At 50.1% G+C, this 22,115-nt stretch overlaps 1 protein-coding gene across 3 annotated transcripts in view; it reads right to left on the reverse strand.

Annotated features, from left to right (window-relative positions):
- The window catches only part of ASMTL (acetylserotonin O-methyltransferase like), a 50,618-nt gene extending 36,343 nt beyond the window's left edge, over nucleotides 1-14,275 (reverse strand). For 2 of the 3 annotated variants that reach the window (NM_001173474.2, NM_004192.4), the window contains exons 1-2: nucleotides 13,267-13,428; nucleotides 2,705-2,836 (exon numbers count right to left, since the gene is read on the reverse strand). In NM_001173474.2, the coding sequence (NP_001166945.1) occupies nucleotides 2,705-2,836; nucleotides 13,267-13,359 (225 nt within the window). In that variant the 5' untranslated portion in view covers nucleotides 13,360-13,428. Of the gene's footprint in view, nucleotides 1-2,704; nucleotides 2,837-13,266; nucleotides 13,429-14,136 lie in introns of those variants that run through there. The other variant, NM_001173473.2, reaches the window with a different exon arrangement.

Here is a 22,115-nt window from a genome sequence, read left to right on the forward strand (position 1 = left end):
GCCCCAAACCTCCCTGAGTTACCCAGAATTAAGGCCAAAAGGTTTTTGATCCGTTCAATGTAATTTCAGAAAAAGCTACTTAGGGCTGGGCGCGGTGGCTCACGCCTGTCATCCCAGCACTCTGGGAGGCCGAGGCGGGCGCATCTCCTGAGGTCAGGAGTTCGAGACCAGCCTGGCCAACATGGTGAAACCCCGTCTCTACTAAAAATACAAAATATCAGTCGGGCACCTGTAATCTCAGCTACTCAGGAGGCTGAGGCAGCAGAATCGCTTGAACCTAGGAGGCGGAGGTTGCAGTGAGCCAAGGTTGCGCACCTGCACTCCAGCCTGGGTGACAGAGTGAGACTCAGTCTCCAAAAAAAAAAAGAAAAAAAAAAACAAGGAAAAGAAAGAAAAAGAAAAAGGTACTTAGGACGATAAAACAAATCCAGGTTGAAAATTCAGCCTCAGAGCAACAGGCAGTCACAGGACATCTGTGTGCAGCTTTGACCTTAGCTCAGCCCCGCACTGGCCTCCCTAAGCTGTGCACTGCCAAAACCCACAATCAATACTCCTGTCTTGATAGCACGACTCACAACAGCCTTACCTCTAATGTATTTCTTTCTTTCTTTTTTTTTTTTTTTGAGATGGAGTCTCGCTCTGTCGCCCAGGCTGGAGGGCAGTGGCGCGACCTCGGCTCACTGCAAGCTCCGCCTCCCGGGTTCACGCCATTCTCCCGCCTCAGCCTCCCGAGTAGCTGGGACTACAGGCGCCCGCCACCGCGCCCAGCCAATATTTTGTGTGTGTTTTTAGTACAGACGGGGTTTCACCGTGTGAGCCAGGATGGTCTTGAACTCCTGACCTCGTGATCCGCCCGCCTCGGCCTCCCAAAGTGCTGGGATGACAGGTGTGAGCCACTGCACCCGGCCCCGAATGTATTTCTTATATTAACAGTAATGGTATATTGTGTGGTAACACACAGCAGCAGGGAAGCTACATTAACTCTATATCCTAAATGATAGCATTATATTCATTGTAACAGCAAGTTAAAACACACAGTAATAGCTATGTTAATTTTATATACTGTGACTGACATTATGTTAGAGTCATATATAACATATAGTAATTGATAAGCTACATTAATTGTACATCCTAAATGACAGTAGTGTATTAATTATAATAGTGTATTACGGTGGGGTGCGGTGGCTCACGCCTGTAATCCCAACACTCCGGGAGGCCGAGGCGGGTGGATCACCTGAGGTCAGGAGTTGGAGACCAGCCTGGCCAACATGGTGAAGCCCCATCTCTACTAAAATAATATGTATTACATAGGAGCATATAGTAACAGATAAATGACATAATTCTACATTATGATACAATTATATTAATTGTCATAGTATATTACATAGTATCACACAGTAACATATTAATTCTATGTATCACAACACATAGTAATGGATGTTAATTCTATATCGTAACTGATATTACTATATTAATTGCAATATTATATTCAAACATAGTAACAAGCTACATGAATCTTAAATCTTAAATGATAGTAGTATATTAATTATAATTGTATATTGCATTGTAGCATACAGCAACAGATAAACTGCATAATTCTATATTATAAATGATATTATTTTAATTAAAATCCGATATTACTTAGTGGCATGGTAATAAGCTACATAATTCTATATCATAAATGATACTATTATATTAATTGCAAGAGAATATTATAACACATAGTAATAGATAAGCTACATTAATTGTATATCATCAACGAGACTATTATATTGATTGCAAGATAATTTTTGTTTTAATTTTTTATTTTTTGGAGACGAAGTCTTGCTCTGTTGCCTAAGTTGGAGTGCAGTGGGATGATCTCGGCTCACTGCAACTTCCGTCTCCCAGGTTCACGCAATTCTCCTGCCTCAGCCTCCTGAGTAGCTGGGATTACAGGCACCCGCCACCACGCCCAGCTAATTTTTGTATGTTTAGTAGAGACGGGGTTTCACCCTGTTGGTCAGGCTGGTCTCGAATTCCTGACCTCAGGTGATCTGTCCGCCTTGGCCTCCCAAAGTGCTAGGATTATAGGTATGAGCCACCGCGACCGGCCACAAGAGATTATAATACATAGTAATAGATAAGCTACATTAATTCTATATCATAAATGATACTATGAAATCAATTGCAAGAGAATATTATAACACATAGTAACAGATAATCTACATTAATTCTATATCATAAATGATACTGTGATATCAATTGTGACAATATTATAACACATAGTAATAGATAAGCTACATTAATTCTGTATCATCAATGATACTATGATATCAATTGCAAGAGGATATTATAACACATAGTAATAGATAAGCTACATTAATTGTATATCATAAATGATACTGTATCAATTGCGAGAAATTATTATAACACATAGTAACAGATAAGCTACATTAATTGTATATCATCAATGATACTGTATCAATTGCAAGAGAATATTATAACACACAGTAACAGATAAGCTCCATTAATTCTGTATCATTAATGGTATTATTAGGTTACTGCAATAGTGCATTACATTATAACATAGCAATAGCTAAGCTGTGCCACCAACTGCATCTTTTGAATGACGTTTATTTGTGTCATGTATATTTACCACCCGCAAATCCCCTCATCACAGCAAAGGAATTTTCATAAGGGCCGAAGGGCAGGGGCCCCTTGCCTGGTACAGCCGGTTGGCCACCTCCAGGGCCTTCTGCTTGGCGGTCTCCATGGCGTACCCATACGGAGTAGCGAAGGAGGCTTTGTCCAGCTTCTCTTTAAACTTGGAGGGGACCACCTCAAACCTGAGACCCTGCAACAGTAGAAAAGGGGTCAGAAGGGTCAATGAAAGACCCTATGAAAAGTGAATGGGACATGCAAGATTTGCAGGACGCACATAGCGTTTGCTACACTCCCCGACCCTGTCCCAGGTGAGCTCATCCATCCGCCAAGCTTTCCCTAAGTGTGGCTGGGGAGCCGGGGACTGACCAGGGCTTTCCCTAAGTGTGGTTAGTGGGCCGCGGACTGACCAGGGGCCTTCAGGGACTGACCAGGGGCCTTCTTGGCTCTCGAGGGAAGAGATTGGCAAAGGAAGAAGCCAGGAACAAAGAGGCCAGCAGGGAGGTATTGACTCGGGCCTTGAACCCACGAGCCAACAGTGTCCGAGGATTCCCAGAGACCTGAAGGTTGGGGCAGAGTACAAAACCCAACCTGCCCACAGGAAATTCAGGAAAAACGCCAGCAATGATGGCTGTGGGAAGGGAGACAATGATGGCTCTACGTCAATCCCTGGTACCCAGGAAGAGACAACACCGCCCCTGGGGAGGCCTGGCCTAGAGGTAGTGACCCCTGCAGAGACCGTGGGGTCAGGAATGATGGTGGTAAATGCCTCCAGTGGGGGAGCCCCTGGCTGCCACACCCTGCCAGGGTGCAGGGAACTCCGCATCTCCCCTCTGACCATCTCCCCTCTGACAGAGCAAAAGCATCGCCATCTTGGACACACACCGCCATCTTGGAGAGACACCACCATCTTGGACGCATACCACCATCGTGGACACACACCGTCGTCGTGGACACACACTGCCATCTGGGACACACACCGTCGTCGTGGACACACACCGCCGTCGTGGACACACGCCGCCATCTTGGACACACACCGCCATCGTGGACACACACCGCCATCGTGGACACACACTGCCATCTGGGACACACACCGTCGTCGTGCACACACACCGCCGTCGTGGACACACGCCGCCGTCTTGGACACACACCGCCATCATGGACACACACCGCCATCTTGGACACACACCGCCATCTTGGACACACACCGCCATCTTGGACAGACACCGCCATCTTGGACACACACCACCATCATGGACACACGCCGCCATCTTGGACACACGCCGCCATCTTGGACACACACCGCCATCTTGGACAGACACCGCCATCTTGGACACACACCACCATCGTGGACACATGCCGCCATCTTGGCCATCATGGACACAGTGTCATTGTGGACACACACCGCCATCTTGGACAGACACCTCCATCTTGGACACACACCGCCATCATGGACACACACCGCCATCTTGGACAGACACCGCCATCGTGGACAGACACCGCCATCGTGGACAGACACCGCCATCATGGACACACACCGCCATCATGGACACACACCGCCATCGTGGACACACACTGCCATCTTGGCCATCGTGGACACACACCCCCATCGTGGACAGACATCATCGTGGACACACACTGCCATCTTGGCCATCGTGGACACACACCCCCATCGTGGACAGACACCATCGTGGACACACACCGCCATTTTGGCCATCGAGGACACACACCACCATCGTGGACAGACACCGCCGTCGTGGACAGACACCCCCATCATGGACACACACCGCCATCTTGGACAGACACCCCCGTCTTGGACAGACACTGCCATGTTGGACACACACTTCCATTTTAAGTTCCCTTGATTAAAAACTGCCTAAATCCAGCCCCCAAACATCAGCCTAATGGCTAATGTCAGCATGACCAGAAACATTCCAGCCGTGGGATAAACCCCTCTGTGACCAGAAACCTCCCCTCCGACCAGAGACAGTCCAACCCCGCAATCAATTTTCCCTCACACAGAAACATTCCGAGCCTGCGAGAAGCCCCCTTTTCCAAAACCCTTTGCTGAGCCACTTTTTGTATTTTTTTTTTTTTTTTTGAAACGGAGTCTCGCTGTGTCGCCCAGGCTGGAGGGGCAGTGATGCCATCTCGGCTCACTGCAAGCTCCATCTCCCAGGATCAAGCGATTCTCCTGCCTCAGTCTCCCGAGTAGCTGGGATTGCAGGTGGGCGCCACCACACCCGGCTAATTTTTGTATTTTTAATAGAGATGGGGTTTCACCATGTTGGTCAGGCTGGTGTCGAACTCCTGACCTCAGGTGATCCGCCCGCCTCGGCCTCCCAAAGTGCTGGGATTACAGATGTGAGCCTCTGCGCCCAGGCTCACTTTCTATATTTGTTTCCTCCTTCTTAAACTCTTACATTTGGTGCCGAAACCCAGGACAGGTGTTACGGACAGAGGCCCTTTTGCAACCCAGGATGCAGTGGGCAGGGGCAGCCTGTCCCGGGCTAACTCCTGGATCCTTTAGAGCCTCTGGCCCTCTGACCCTGTCCTTTCTCTCTCTCCCTCTTTGAGTGTTGGGAGTGGAGGTTCTCTTGCAACCCAGGAAGCTGTGGGCAGCAGCAGCTCATCCTGGGCTAACTCCTGGATCGTGAGGGTCTCTGGCCACCCCTCCCATCTTTTCTCTCCATTCACCTTCCAAGCAATTTGTGTGAGGAAGACAACTCATGTAAAGGGGACTTAGAGGCTCAAGCTGGAGGGTTCTCAAAACCCTCAGGTCTCAGAAATCCACCTCTGACCCCCTGCAACAGGTATTTCGCTCCCTAACCCTTGCTTCGTCTTCCTCTCTCTTCGTCCGTCTTCTTCCCTCTTCTCTCTCTCTCTCTGTCTTCCCTGCGCGGCTCCAGTTTGGGAGCCCCTTTGCCAATTCCAACAGGAACATCCAACATCAGACACAAATCCAGCCGTCTGGTAAGATCTGCCCTCCTCTGACTTTTGGTACCCAGGAAAAGTCAGGTCGGCCATCCCAGTCCTCGGAGGACCAGCGGCACTAAGCTAGAAGCGATCTTGAGGGATGCCCAGTATCTTCTCAGCTTGGCCGTCCTCCTTATAAAGAGGATTCTGGGTCTCTGTCTTTTGTCTGGGGTTGCCTAAAACACAAACAGACACTCTCGGCTTCCTTTTACCAGCCCACGTGGGTGCCAAACAACCCGACATTCCTATGTCCTCCTCTCTGGGATGTCTCCTTTCCAACCTGGCCAAACTTGGCTTACAGAGGAACCTAAAGCCAGAGTGTTGAATTTTTTATTGCAATAGTCTGGCATCAATACAAACTACATAATGACAGCAGATGGCCCGAACATAGCACCTTTAACTTGCAAATTCTCAGGGACCTTGACAACTTTATCACCAGGAAATGGCAAGAGGTTCCCTATACTCAGGCTATCTTCTACCCTCCCTATGTCAAGTTGCACCTCTCATTGTGGGCGGCAAGACACCCAGGTGCTGAGGCAAGAGACCGAGGACACGAGCTCTTCCGGTATATGATAAAATATAAAACGAGAAAGTTATACCAGATATAGATCTTAGATATGGTTATATATGAATATCATTAATCATTAGTTGGTAGTAATTACTCTTTATACCAATCTTATAATAATCCTTGCTCTAGAATCATAATGTAGGAAAAGCCAGGCCATACAGAGATAGGAGCTGAGGGGACATGGTGAGGTGCGACCAGAAGACGAGCGCGAGCCTTCTGTTATGCCCAGACGGGGTCACCAAAGGGAGTCTCCCTTTCCCTGGGGGGGTTTAGAGAAGACTCTGCTCCTCCACCTCCTGTGGAGGACCTGACATCAGTCAGACCCGCCCGCAGTTATCCGGAGGCCTAACCCTCTCCCTGTGGTGCTTTGCTTCAGTGGTCACACGCTCCTAGTCCGCCTTCATGTTCCATCCTGTACACCTGGCTCTGCCTTTAGTTAGCAGGAGCAAATTAGTGAAAGTACTAAAAGTGTCTGATAAGCAGAAATAATGGCGTAAGCTGTTTCTCTCCTTCTCCTCTCTCTCTCTGCCTCGGCGGCCAGGCAGGGAAGGGCCCCCTGTCCAGTGGACACGTGACTCACGTGACCTTACCTATCATTGGAGATGGCTCACACTCCTTACCCTGCTCCTTTGTCTTGTATCCAATAAATATCAGCGCAGCCTGGCATTCGGGACCACCACCAGTCTCCGCGTCTTGGTGGTAGTGGTCCCCCGGGCCCAGCTGCCTTTTCTTTTATCTCTTTGTCTTGTGTCTTTATTTCTACACTCTCATGCCTCCGCACACAGGGAGAGATCCACTGACCCTGTGGGGCTGGTCCCTACATCTCATGACATTTTTTTTTTTTTTTTTGAGACGGAGTCTTGCTCTGTCGCCCAGGCTGGAGTGCAGTGGTGCCATCTCGGTTCACTGCAACCTCTGCCTCCCAGGTTCAAGCGATTCTCCTGCCTCAGCCTCCCAAGTAGCTGGGACTGCAGGCGCCCGCCACCACGCCCGGCTAATTTTTTGTAATTTTAGTAGAGACGGGGTTTCACCATGTTAGCCAGGATGGTCTCGATCTCCTGACCTCGTGATCCGCCAACCTCGGCCTCCCAAACTGCTGGGATTACAGGCATGAGCCACCATGCCCAGCCCATAATTTGTCTTTTAATAAAAGTGGGAAAACTGGAAAAAGAAAAATCGTGTTTGAAAAACTATAGTTACCCCTGTCGTGAAATTCTAGTCTTGCCTAATGGTTTTCAGTTTTTATTCTTTTCTACGGTTTGAATTAAATTCTAATTTTTCTGGCTACATGTCTCCAAGATAATGTTTTGCATTCTTTTCCTTTTTCTTTTTCTCCAATTTTTCCTAACTGAAAACCTCTGAAACCCAAGTTCTGCTTTCTTAAAGCCCTGTGAACTAAAAGCTAGATGTTTCAACGGGTGCTGCTTGGAAGGCCCCTAAAGAGTGCTACCAGGAACAAATCAACCTCTTCCCCTCCAGGGCTGTGTTTGGTGACCCGTAATAACCACCTCCCTCAGCAGGAAGTGGCCAGAAAGAACACACCACCCCTCGTCCTGTTATAACTAGAGGGTCTGGATTCACAGAGCAGGAGCATTGCCATCTTCGACACACACTGCCATCTTGGACCCATTACACCATCTTGGACACACACCGCCATCTTGGATAAGCACCACCATCTTGGACACACAACATCTTGGACACACATGGCCATCTTGGAGAAGCACCACCATCTTGGACACACACTGCCATCTTGGATAAGCACCACCATCTTGGACACACACCATCTTGGACACACACGGCCATGTTGGAGAAGCACCACCATCTTGGACACACACCGCCATCTGGGAGAAGCACCACCATCTTGGACACACACCATCTTGGACACACACGGCCATCTTGGATAAGCACCACCATCTTGGAGACACACCATCTTGGACACACACCGCCATCTTGGATAAGCACCACCATCTTGGAGACACACCATCTTGGACACACACCGCCATCTTGGAGAAGCACCACCATCTTGGACACACACCATCTTGGACAAGCACTGCCATCTTGGACATGCATGGCCATCTTTGACACACACCACCATCTTGGACACACACCGCCATCTTGGATAAGCACCACCATCTTGGACACACACAGCTATCTTGGATAAGCACTACCATCTTGGACACACACCATCTGGGACACACACTGCCATCTTGGACCCATAACACCATCTTGGACAAGCACCGCCATCTTGGACACACCGCCATCTTGGATACACAACACCATCTTGGAAAAGCACCACCATCTTGGACACACACCGCCATCTTGGATAAGAACCACCATCTTGGACACACACCATCTTGGACACACACCGCCATCTTGGATAAGAACCACCATCTTGGACACACACCATCTTGGACACACACAGCCATCTTGGATAAGCACCACCATCTTGGACACACACCATCTTGGACACACACCGCCATCTTGGATAAGCACCACCATCTTGGACACACACCGCCATCTTGGATAAGCACCACCATCTTGGACACACACCATCTTGGACACACACTGCCATCTTGGATAAGCACCACCATCTTGGACACACAACATCTTGGACACACACCGCCATCTTGGATAAGCACCACCATCTTGGACACACACCATCTGGGACACACACTGCCATCTTGGACCCATAACACCATCTTGGACAAGCACCACCATCTTGGACACACCGCCATCTTGGACACGCCACCATCTTGGATACACACCACCATCTTGGAAAAGCACCACCATCTTGGACACACAACATCTTGGACACACACTGCCATCTTGGATAAGCACCACCATCTTGGACACATGCCGCCATCTTGGACACACACTGCCATCTTGGATAAGCACCACCATCTTGGACACACACCATCTTGGACACACACGGCCATCTTGGATAAGCACCACCATCTTGGACACACACCGCCATCTTGGATAAGCACCACCATCTTGGAGACACACCATCTTGGACACACACTGCCATCTTGGAGAAGCACCACCATCTTGGACACACACCATCTGGGACACACACCACCATCTTGGATAAGCACCACCATCTTGGACACACACCGCCATCTTGGATAAGCACCACCATCTTGGACAAGCACTGCCATCTTGGACATGCATGGTCATCTTTGACACACACCACCATCTTGGACACACACCGCCATCTTGGACAAGCATTGCCATTTTAAGTTCCCGTGATTAAAAACTGCCTAAAACCAGCCCCAAAACATCAGCCTAATGGCTAATGTCAGCATGACCAGAAACAGTCAAAGCCTGAAATAAACCGCCTCTGACCAGAAACATCCCAAGCCCAAGATAACCTCCTTCAGACCAGAGACATTCTAACACCTCAGTCAACTTTGCCTCACAGGGAAACATTCCGAGCCTGCGATAAGATTCCCCTTCCTAAACCCTTAAATACCCTTAGTCTGTAAGAGAGAACACTCCTGACCTAACTCAGCCAGAAGCCCCGCTCAGGCTTGTTCTCCAAAATAAACCCGTCTTTGACTGTGAAGCTGCTTTTCTTTTTTCGTCTTTCTTCCACTCTTCTACACTCCTCAGCGCTCCTCACCTCTTGAAGGTGCCCCCAGATCCTGGCCCTGACGCCCATCCTGGTCTTCAGGGCACCAGTCACCAAGCCCTGGACCTGCCCTGCAGATCTCAACCCCAGATCATATAGACCCCTGCCCTATGCCCTGTCACCCCCAATCATGGAGACCCATGCCTTCTGTGAGGCACCCTGACCACTCTCATCCCCGTCACTAGGACCAGGCATGTGGTGTCCCCCCTCCCAGGGTACCAGACCTCCAGTCCGTAGTCCCCAAGAGTAGACTCCTGCCCCACTGCACCATCCATAGGCAACCAGTAACTACCCTACCATCACCAGTAACTTCTCTGCCATCACCAGTAACTACCTCACATCACCAGTAACTACCCCCCATCACCAGTAACTATGCCCCATCATCAAACCCAGTAACTACCCCCCATCACCAGTAACTATCCACCATCACCAGTAACTATCCCCCATCACCAGTAACTATGCCCCATCATCACCAGTAACTATCCCCCCATCACCAGTAACTATCTCCCATCAACAGTAACTATCCTCCCATCACCAGTAACTATCCCCACATCACCAGTAACTACCCCCATCACCAATAACTATGCCCCATCATCAAACCCAGTAACTATCCCACCATCACCAGTAACTAACCCCCACCACCAGTAAATATGCCCCATCATCACCAGTAACTATCCCTCATCACCGGTAACTACGCCCCATCACCAGTAACTATCTCCCATCACCAGTAACTATCCCCCATCACCAGTAACTATCCTTCCATCACCAGTAACTATGCCCCCATCACCAGTAACTATCCCATCACCAGTAACTATCACCCCATTACCAGTAACTATCCCACATCACCTATAACTATCCGCCTGTCACCAGTAACTACCCCCCATCACAAGTAACTATCCCTTCATCACTAGACCGTCTCCTCCATGTGATTAGGGCTCCAGAGAGAGGCAGACACCCACTACCTAGGCGTCCTACCACCCGGAATAAGATCCTCATGGGGGCACCAGGAAACACTTCCCATACCCCAGCTACAAAGTCCAACCATCAGTCACAGGGCCCACTCCATCCCTAGAAGTCCTGAGTCACTCACCTCCCCAATCCCTAGGGGTCCCAGGTCACTCCCCTCCCCCACCCCTAGGGGGTCCCGGGTTACTCTCCCCTCCCCCATTCCTAGGGGTCTTGGATTACTCTCCCCTCCCTTATCCCTAGGAGGTCCTGGATCACACTCCCCTCCCCCATCACTAGGGCATCCTGGGTCACTCTCCCCTCCCCCATCCCTAGGGGCTCTGGGTCACTCTCCCCTCCCCCATCCCTAGGGGTTCTGGGTCACTCTCCCCTCCCCCATCCCTAGGGGTTCTGGGTCACTCTCCCCTCCCCCATCCCTAGGGGGTTCCGGGTCACACTCCCCAACCCCATCCCTAGGGGTTCTGGGTTACTCTCCCCTCCCCCATCCCTAGGGTTCCCGGGTTACTCTCCCCTCCCCCAACCCTAGGGGTCCCAGGTTACTTTCCCCACCCACATCCCTAGGCGGTACTGGATCACTCTCCCCTCCCCCATCCCTAGGGGTCCCGGGTCACTCTGCCCTCCCCCATCCCTATGGGTCCCGGGTCACTCTGCCCTCCCCATTCCTAGGGGGTCCTGGCTCACTCTCCCCTCCCCCATCCCTAGGGGTCCTGGGTTATTCTCCCCTCCCCCATCCCTAGGGGTCCCGGGTCACTCTGCTTTCTCCATTCCTAGGGGGTCCTGGGTCACTCTCCCCTCCCCCATACCTAGGGATTCCGGATCACTCTCCCCTCCCCCATCCCTAGGCGGTCCTGGATCACTCTCCCCTCCCCATTCCTAGGGGGTCCTGGGACACTCCTCCCTCCCCATCCCTAGGGGGTCCTGGGACACTCCTCCCTCCCCATCCCTAAGGGGGTCCCAGGTCACTCTCCCCAACCCCATGCCTAGGGCGTCCTGGGTTACTCTCCCCACCCCCATCCCTAGGGGGTCCTGGGTTACTCTCCCCTTCCCCATCCCTAGGTGGTCCTGGGTCACTCTCCCCTCCCCATTCCTTGGGGGTCCCGGGTCACCCTTCCCTCCCCCATCCCTAGGGGGTCCTGGGTCACTCTCCCCAACCCCATGCCTAGGGGTTCCAGGTCACTCTCCCCTCCCTCATCCTTTTGGGTCCCGGGTTACTCTCCCTACCCCCATCCCTAGGGGGATCCCGGCTTACTCTCCCCTCCCCCATCCCTAGGGGGTCCCAGGTTACTCTCCCATCCCCATTCCTAGGGGGTTCTGGGTCACTCCCTGCAACCCCATGCCTAGGGGTTTCGGGTCACTCTCCCCACCCCCATCCCTAGGGGGGTCCCGGGTCACTTGACCTCCCCATTCCTAGGGGTCCCGGGTTACTCTCCTCTCCCCCATCCCTAGGGGTCCCGGGTTACTCTCCCCACCCCCATCCCTAGGGGGGTCTCGGCTTACTCTCCCTATCCCCAACCCTGGAGGTCCCGGGTTACTCTCCCCATCCCCATGCCTGGGGGTCCCGGGTTACTCTCCCCATCCCCATCCATGGGGCTCCGGGGTCACTCTGCTGTCCCCATCCCTAGCGGTCCTGGGTCACTCCTCCCTCCCCATCCCTAGGGGGTCCCGGGTCACTCTCCCCAACCACATGCCTAGGGCGTCCTGGGTTACTCTCCCCACCCCCATCGCTAGGGGGTCCCAGGTTACAGGTTACTCTCTCCAACCCCATCCCTAAGGTGTCCCGGGTTTCTCTCCCCTCCCCCACCCCTAGGGGGGTCCCGGGTTACTCTCCCCTCCCCCATCCCTAGGGGGTCCTGGGTCACTCTCCCCAACCCCATCCCTAGGGGTCCCGGGTTATTCTCCCCAACCCCATTCCTGGGGGTCTCGGCTTACTCTCCCCATCCCCATGCCTGGGGGTCCCGGGTTACTCTCCTCTCCCCCATCCCTAGGGGTCCCGGGTTACTCCCCCACCCCCATCCCTAGGGGGGGTCTCGGCTTACTCTCCCCATCCCCAACCCTGGAGGTCCCGGGTTACTCTCCCCATCCCCATGCCTGGGGGTCCCGGGTTACTCTCCTCATCCCCATCCATGGGGCTCCGGGGTCACTCTGCTGTCCCCATCCCTAGCGGTCCTGGGTCACTCTACCCTCCCCATTCCTAGGGGTCCCGGGTTACGATCCCCTCCCCCATCCCTATGGGGACCCAGGTCACTCCCCACCCCCATGCCTAGGGGGTTCCGGGTTACTCTCCCCTCCCCCATCCCTAGAGGTTCCGGGTCACTCTCCCCAACCCTATCCCTGGAGGTCCCGGGACACTCTCCCCTCCCCCATCCCTAAGGGTCTCGGGTCACTCTCCCATCCCTATCCCTAGAGTTCCTGAGTCGCTGGGCCCTCCGGGGTTCAGCCCCTCCGTCCCCGGTCCCCTGCCCCGCCCAGGCCCAGGCCGTACCGCGTTGCTGAGGATCTCCTGACGGCGTGGGGAGGCGCTGGCCAGCACCACGCGCTTGTGCAGCAGCTTCCCAATCACCGGGCACAGCACCATGGCGTCCACGCCGGGAGCCGGGCGTCCGCACTTCTGAGCCCGGAGCCCGCGGTGCGCGCAGCGCGGCTGCAAAAAAAACAGGCGGCCAGAGTCCCGCCTCCGCGAGGCCACGCCCCCGCCCGCCTCCGCGAGGCCACGCCCAGTCCGCGCCTTCAGTGGCCTCCCCGCGAGACCGCGCCCAGGCCACGCCTCCATTGAACACTCCGTCAGGCCTCGCCCAGGCCACACCTCCATTGCCCTCTCCACCAGGCCACGCCCATGTCACGCCCCATTGATCTCCCCTGAGACCACGCCCAGACCACGCCTCCATTGCCCTCTCCGTCAGGCCACGCCCAGGCCACACCTCCATTGCCCTCTCCGCCAGGCCACGCCCATGTCACGCCGCCATTGACCGCTCCGCCAGGCCACGCCCAGGCCACACCTCCTTGCCCTCTCCGCCAGGCCACGCCCATGCCACGCCGCCATTGAGCTCCCCGTGAGGCCACGCCCAGGCCACACCCCCGCCCGCCTCCCCCCCGGGCACCGCCCCGGCCGCTTGGTGAAGCACCGCCCCCAGCTCCGCCTCCCGGGCCCCGTCCCCGCCCCCGGCGCTCGCCCCGCCCCTCCCCACCCCGCCTGCGGCGCCAAGACCTGCAATGGCGCAGGCAGCTGCGGGGTCCCGGGGAGGAAAGGCTGGCGTGGATACTTGGGGTTCCTTGCAGGCGCGGCGTGGGGAGTGGAAATGCTGGGTTTCCGCAGCTGCGGTTGTGGGCAGTTGTGGGGGTGGGGGGTTCTTACCCGCACGTGGAGGGGCCCGGCGCAGAGATGGGGGTCTTGTGGGAGCCGCGTCGGGGAAGGTAGAGATAGGGGGTTCCCCGCGGACCCGGTGCGAGTGGCGTGGGGATGGGGATGTCCTCGTGCCTGGTGGGAGGGGAGTGGAGATGGGGGTGTCCACGGGCCTGGTGGGAGGGGCGTGGAGATGGGGGTGTCCACGGGCCTGGTGGGAGGGGCGTGGAGATGGGGGTGTCCACGGGCCTGGTGGGAGGGGCGTGGAGATGGGGGTGTCCACGGGCCTGGTGGGAGGGGCGTGGAGATGGGGGTGTCCACGGGCCTGGTGGGAGGGGCGTGGAGATGGGGGTGTCCACGGGCCTGGTGGGAGGGGCGTGGAGATGGGGATCCCCGCGGGGATGGTGGGAGGGGTTTGGAGATGAGGGTCCCCGCGAGAATGCTCGGAGGGGTATGGATATGGGGGTCCCCGCGGGCCGGGTGGGAAGGGCGGGGAGATGGGTGGGGGGGGGGTCCCCGCGTGCCTGGTGGGAGGGGCGTGGAGAAGGTGGGGGTCCTTGTGGGAGGGGCGTGGACACTGGGGATCCGCGCGGGCGTGGTGATGGGCGCGGCGTGGGGACCCCCTGGGGGCGCGGTGCTGGGGGCGCAGGGATGGGACCAGGGCGGGCGCTGTGAGGTGGGGGACGCCCGGCTGTGCCTTCCCTCCCTAAACGGAGCCCACCTCCAGGGCAGCGGGTCCCTTGCGCGCCGCAGGCTGCAGGGGGCGCGCGTGAGCTGTGCGAGGATTTTTCTTAAACCCCAGAGCCCAGCCGCACCTGCTCCACATAAACCCAGCGTGGCGTGGAGACTCCGGGCACTGTTTCCCCAGCCTTTGTGACTCAAAAGATTTTAAAATAAAATGTCAAAAATAATAATATACCCAGAGCCTATGCCAGTGATGTGTAGATGCAGAAAATGGAATCCTACAGTTAATTTTGTTAACTGTGGAATGACATCCGAGGGTGTCCAACACATTACGGAGAAAACGAAAAACTGTAGTCAGAGAAGTCACAGAAGAGCCAAATAAAAGAGAGGAAAAAAGCATCTAAACCATGTGATGTCTGATTTTCAATATTGTGAGTTTTTGAAAAAAAATTTTAAAAAGCACATAGATTCACATTTCAGAATTTTGGAGAAGTAACTTTCTTCGTTTTGAAGCGATAGAAGGAATCATAAGTTTATAAACTGTACTGCATATAACATAAACTCCATGCAGGTGAAGGTTTTTGTTTGTTTGTTTCTTTCTTTTCTGTTTGTTTCTTTCTTTGTTTTTTGAGACCGAGTCTCACTGTGTCGCCCAGGCTGGAGTGCAATGGTGCAATCTCGGCTCACTGCAACCTCCGCCTCCCAGGTTCAAGCGATTCTCCTGCCTCAGCCTCCTGAGTAGCTAGGATTACAGGCACCTGCCATCACATCGAGCTAATTTTTGTACTTTTAATAGAGATGGGGTTTCGCTGTGTTGGCCAGGCTGGTCTCGAAGTCCTGACCTCAGGTGATCCACCCGACTCAGCCTCCCAAAGTGCTGGGATTACAGGTGTGAGCCACCGGGCCCAGCTGCGGGTGAGATATTAAACATAAAGAAAAATAGCAAAGGAAATTACAGTAATTCTCTATAGAAGATGAAGTGAAGGCTGCCTCTTCCTACACGGGTACAGGCAAAGCTGGAGGGTTTAGTGACCTACAGTGGGGGTTGCTGGTAACTGTCACTCAAAACCCTGGGGCTTAAAACAGCAAAACTTAATTGTATTACAGCTCTGGAGCCCAGACATCTGAAATCAAGGAATAGGCAGGGCCACGCTCCCTCCGAAGGCTCTAGGGGAGGGTCCTTCCTGCCTCTCCCGCTCCTGGGGGCTCCAGGCATCCCTGGGCTTGTGGCCGCATCACTCTAGTCTCTGCCTCCGTCTCTACGTGGGTTTCTCTGTGTCTGTGTCTCCTCTTCTGTCTCTTACAAGGACACCTGTCATTGTGTTTAGGGCCCGTCCTTCTCCAGGATGATCTCATCTCCAGATTGTTAATCATATCTGCAAAGATCCTTTTTCCAAATGAGGTCCCATTCCCAGGCTCTGGGGCTTAGGACATGGACATATGGTTTGGAGCTCACCATCTAAACCATTGCAATTGTGTTTGCTTCCTTCTGGAGGCTCTAGGGGAGGGTGCTTCCTGCCTCTTCCAGCTCCTGGGGGCTCCAGGCATCCCTGGGCTTGTGGCCGCATCACTGCAGTCTCTGCCTCCATCTCCACGTGGCCTTCTCCTCTGTGTCTGTGTCTCCTCTTCTGTCTCTTACAAGGACACCTGTCATTGGACTTAGGGTCCACCTTAATCCAGCATGATATCTTGAAATCATGAACTAATTGCACATGTGAGGACCCTATTTCCAAATAAGGTGCCATTCACCAGGTGGACATATCTATGGGGAGGCACGAATCAACTCAGTCCCCCATACCAGCATTCCAGAAGGAGTGCTAACCAGAGATGGGGTCCAGCAGCCTTTAACATGCCTGTATTTATCCCTATAAGTTCTCCATTACGGCCACATCATTGAAACCCCAGCAGGCAGAGGTTTAACTGCTCTGGAGCCCTGACTACTGCAGCCTCCTCCTGCTCTCAATGTGCCCTTCCGTGACTTTCAGATTTTTCTTTGCTTTTTTTTTTTTTTTTTAGACTGACTCTTGCTCTGTCGCCCAGACTGGAGTACAGTGGCACGATCTTGGCTCACTGCAACCTCCACCTCTCAGGTTCAAGTGGCTTTCCTGCCTCAGCCTCCCGAGTATCTGGGACCGCCACCACACCTGGCTAATTTTTTGTATTTTTTAGTAGAGATGGGGTTTCTCCATGTTTGCCAGGCTGGTCTTGAACTCCCGACCTCAGGTGATCCGCCCACTTCAGCCTCCCAAAATGCTGGAATTACAGGCATGAGCCACTGTGCCCAGCCAATGCCTGTTTTTTGTTTGTTTGTTTGTTTTGTTTTGTTTTGTTTGTTTGTTTTTGAGATGGAGTCTCGCTGTGTCACCCAGGCTGTAGTGCAGTGGCGCGATCTGGGCTCACTGCAAGCTCTGCCTCCTGGGTTCATGCCATTCTCCTGCCTCAGCCTCCCAAGTAGCTGGGACTACAGGCACCCGCCACCGCGCCCGGCTAATTTATTTTTCTATTTTTTAGTAGAGACAGGGTTTCACCATGTTAGCCAGGATGGTCTCGATCTCCTGACCTCATGATCTACCCACCTCGGCCTCCCAAAGTACTGGGATTACAGGTGTGAGCCACCGTGCCCGACCAATGCCTGTCGTTAATAAGCAACCCAGTCTATGGTATTCTGTGATAGCAGCCTGCAATGGACTAAGACATCTGATAAGAAGAGGAGAAGAGGAGCTGAAGACACAGACACACATGGAGGGACGACCCTGTGAGGACACAGGGAGAAGACAGCGTCTCCAAGCCCAGGAGAGAGGCCTCAGGAGGAGCCAGCCTTGCCCACACCTTGACCTCAGACCTCCAGCCTCCAGGACTGTGGAAGAATCGATGTCTGTTGTCTAAGCTGTACAGCGTACAGGACTTTGCTATGGCAACCCCAGCAAACTCATACACCCCGTCCCACCAGGCTGGGCTTCCATCCTTAATGTTCTGTTTTGCATTGAGCCAGCATTGCATGGTTGGAGGTTCAAAGATTCTCAAATGTGTGCATGTGTGTGGGTTTTGTGTAATTCAGTTGCCAGCAACTGAGGAGATCCTACCGTCCAGGAGACACCTGGCAATGTCTGAAGATATTTTTGGCCATCACGTCTGGAGGTGTGCGTGCAGTGCAGGGGTGCTGCTCCCATCTGGTGGGTGGAGCCCAGGGTCTCTGCTCAGCACCGTACAGTGCCCAGGATGGCCCCACCACAGAGAGTCCTCCAGCCCCAAATGTCAGCTGTGCTGAGGTGGGGGAACCCTGAGTCAGCATGAGAGGGTTTGTCTATCATCTATCTATGTATCCATGTTATCCATCATTTATCCAGCTATTCATCTGTCATGTATCCATCTATCTTGTCTATGTATCTATCACTCTTCCATCTATTTAGCCATAATATCTATGTATCTCTCTATCCATCTATGTATGTATGTATGTATCTATCTATCCATCTATGTATGTATGTATGTATGTATCTATCATCTATCTATCCATCTATGTATGTATGTATCTATCATCTATCAATCTATGTATCTATCCATCTGTCTATGTATGTATGTATCTGTCAATCTATCATCTATGTATCTATCCCTCTATGTATGTATGTATGTGTCTATCATCTATCAATCTATGTATCTATCCATCTGTCTATGTATGTATGTATCTGTCAAACTATCATCTATGTATCTATCCCTCTATGTATGTATGTATGTGTCTGTCTATCATCTATCAATCTATGTATCTATCCATCTGTCTATGTATGTATGTATCTGTCAATCTATCATCTATGTATCTATCCCTCTATGTATGTATGTATGTATCTGTCTATCATCTGTCTATCCATCTATCTATCTATGTATGTATCTGTCTATCATCTATCAATCTATCCATCTATGTATGTATCTGTCTATCATCTATCAATCTATCTATCCATCTATCTATCTATGTATGTGTCTGTCTATCATCTATCTATCCGTCTATGTATGTATCTGTCTACCTATCATCTATCTATCCATCTATGTATGTATCTATCATCTATCTATCCACCTATCTATGTATGCATCTATCATCTATCTATCCATCTATCTATGTATGTATGTATCTATCTATCCATCTATGTATGTATGTATCTATCATCTATCTATGTATCCATCTATGTATGTATGTATGTCTATCTATCATCTATCTATCTATCCATCTATGTGTGTATGTATCTGTCTATCATCTATCCATGTATCTATCCATCTGTATGTTTGTATGTATCTGTCTATCATCTATCTATCTATCTATCTATCTATCTATCTATCTATCTATCCATCTATGTATCTATCATTTGTCTATCATCTATCAATCTATCCATCTATGCATCTATCATTTGTCTATCATCTATCAATCTATCCATCTATGTATCTATGTATTATCATTTATCTATCATTCATCTGTCTATCTATCATTTATCAATCTATCATCTATGTATCTATCATCTATCATTAGATATATCATCTATCAATCTACCCATCTATCATCTATCTTTCTATCTATTCTACCTACCTATCATCTATCTATTGTATCTACCTACCTATCTCATCTATCATTTATCCCCTCCTTATGTTGTCTATGTATTTATTATCCATCTGTGTATCCGTTATCTACCTATCATCTATCTAGCTATCATCTATTATCTATCTATCCATCCATTCTGTTTATCTATGTATCCATCTATCATCTGTATAACTATCCATCTATTATCTATCTATCTAACTATCATCTATCTATCTATCTTCTATCCATCTACCCATCTTTCTATCTTTCCATCATCAATCTATTATCTATCTATCTTCTATCCATCTATCTTTCCATCATCAATCTGTTATCCATCTATCCATTTATCCATCATCTATATATTAATTTATCATCTATCAATCTATCATCTACCTATCATCCATCTATCTATCTATGTATGTATCTATCATCTATCTATGTAGCTATCCATCTATCTATGTATGTAGGTATCTATCATCTATCTATCTATCTATCTATCTATCTATCTATCTATGTATCTATCATCTATCTATGTATCCATCTATGTATGTATGTATATATCTGCCTATCTATCACCTACCTATGTATCTATCCATCTATCTATGTATGGATGTATCTGTCTATCATCTATCTATGTATGTATCTATCATCTGTCTATCTAGCCATCTATGTATGTATGTGTCTGTCTATCATCTATTTGTCTATGTAAGTATCTATCTGTCATCTATCTATCCATCTGTGTATATATGTATGTATCTGTCTATCATCTATCTATCCATCTATCTATGTATGTATGTATCTATCATCTATCTATCCACCTATGCATGTATCTATCATCTATCTATCCATCTATCTATGTATCTATGTATCTATCATCTATCTATCCATCTATCTATGTATGTGTCTATCATCTATCTATCCATCTATCTATGTATGTATCTGTCTATCTATCGTCTATGTATCCATCTATGTATGTATGTATCTATCACCTATGTATCCATCTATGTATGTATCTATCATCTATGTATGTATGTATGTATGTGTCTATCATCTATGTATGTATCTATCCATCTGTATGTATGTATGTATGTGTCTATCATCTATCTATATATCTATCTATCCATCTATGTATCTATGTATCTATCATTTGTATGTCTATCATCTATCAATCTATCCATCTATGTATTTAGTATTATCATTTATCTATCATTCATCTGTCTATCATCTATCAATCTATCATCTATGTATCTATCATCTATCATTAGATATATCATCTATCAATCTACCCATTTATCATCTATCTATTCTACCTACCTATCATCTATCTATTTATCTACCTATCTATCTCATCTATCATTTATCCCCTCCTTATGTTGTCTATGTATGTATTATCCATCTGTGTATCCATTATCTACCGATCATCTATCTAGCTATCATCTGTTATCTATCTATCCATCCATTCTGTTTATCTATGTATCCATCTATCTATCATCTGTATAACTATCCATCTATCATCTGTCTATCATCTATCTATCTATCATCTTCTATCCATCTACCCAACTTTCTATCTTTCCATCATCAATCTATTATCTATCTATCTTCTATCCATCTATCTATCCATCTGTCTATCTTTCCATCATCAATCTGTTATCCATCTATCTATCCATCTATCCATCATCTATATATTCATCTATCCATCTATCATCTATCATTCATCTATCTATCTATCTATCTATCTATCTATCTATCTATCTCTTATCACCCATTTATCAATCTATCATCTATCTACCTGTGTATGTACCTATCTATCCATCTATCATGTATCCATTTGTCTTTTTTTTTTTTGAGGCAGAGTCTCGCTCTGTCACCCAGACTGGAGTGCAGTGGCATGATCTCAGCTCACTGCAACCTCTGCCTCCTGGGTTCAAGCAATCCTCCTGCCTCAGCCTCCCTAGTAGCTGAGATTACAGGTGCCCGCCACCATGCCCGGCTAATTTTTGTGGTTTTAGTAGAGACGAGGTTTCACCATGTTGGCCAGGCTGGTCTTGAACTCCCGACCTCGTGATCCACCTGCCTCAGCCTCCCAAAGTGCTGAGATTACAGGCTTGAGCCACCACACCCGGCCCCAGCCTCTAGAACTGTGGCAAGCAATGTCTATTGTTTGTGAGCCACCCAGTTGATGGTTGCGATGGTTAATACCAAGAGTCAACGTGATTGGATTGAAGGATACAAAGTATTGATCCTGGGTGTGTCTGTGAGGGTGTTGCCAAAGGAGATGAACATTTGAGTCAGTGGACTGGGAAAGGCAGACCCCCCCCCCCTTAATCTGGGTGGGCATCATCTAATCAGCTGCCAACGAGGCTAGAATATAAGCAGGGAGAAAAATGTGAAAAGGAGAGACGGGCCTAGCTTCCCAGCCTCCATCTTTCTCCCATGCTGGATGCTTCCTGCCCTTGAACATCTGACTCCAAGTTCTTCAGTTTTGGGACTGGGATGGGTTCTCCTTGCTCCTCAGCCTGCAGACGGCCTATTGTGGGACCTCATGATCATGTGAGTTAATACTGAATCAACTTCCCTTTATTTATTTATTTATTTTTATTTATTTATTTTTGAGATTCACTCTGTCACCCAGGAAGTTTACTTAATAAACTTCCCTTTATTTATTTTTATTTATTTATTTTTGAGTTGCACTCTGTCACCCAGGCTGGAGGGCAGTGGTGCGATCTCGGCTCACTGCAAGCTCCAC

Source organism: Homo sapiens, chromosome Y (genome assembly GCF_000001405.40).
Source record: "Homo sapiens chromosome Y, GRCh38.p14 Primary Assembly".
NCBI classification, from domain to species: Eukaryota; Metazoa; Chordata; class Mammalia; order Primates; family Hominidae; genus Homo; species Homo sapiens.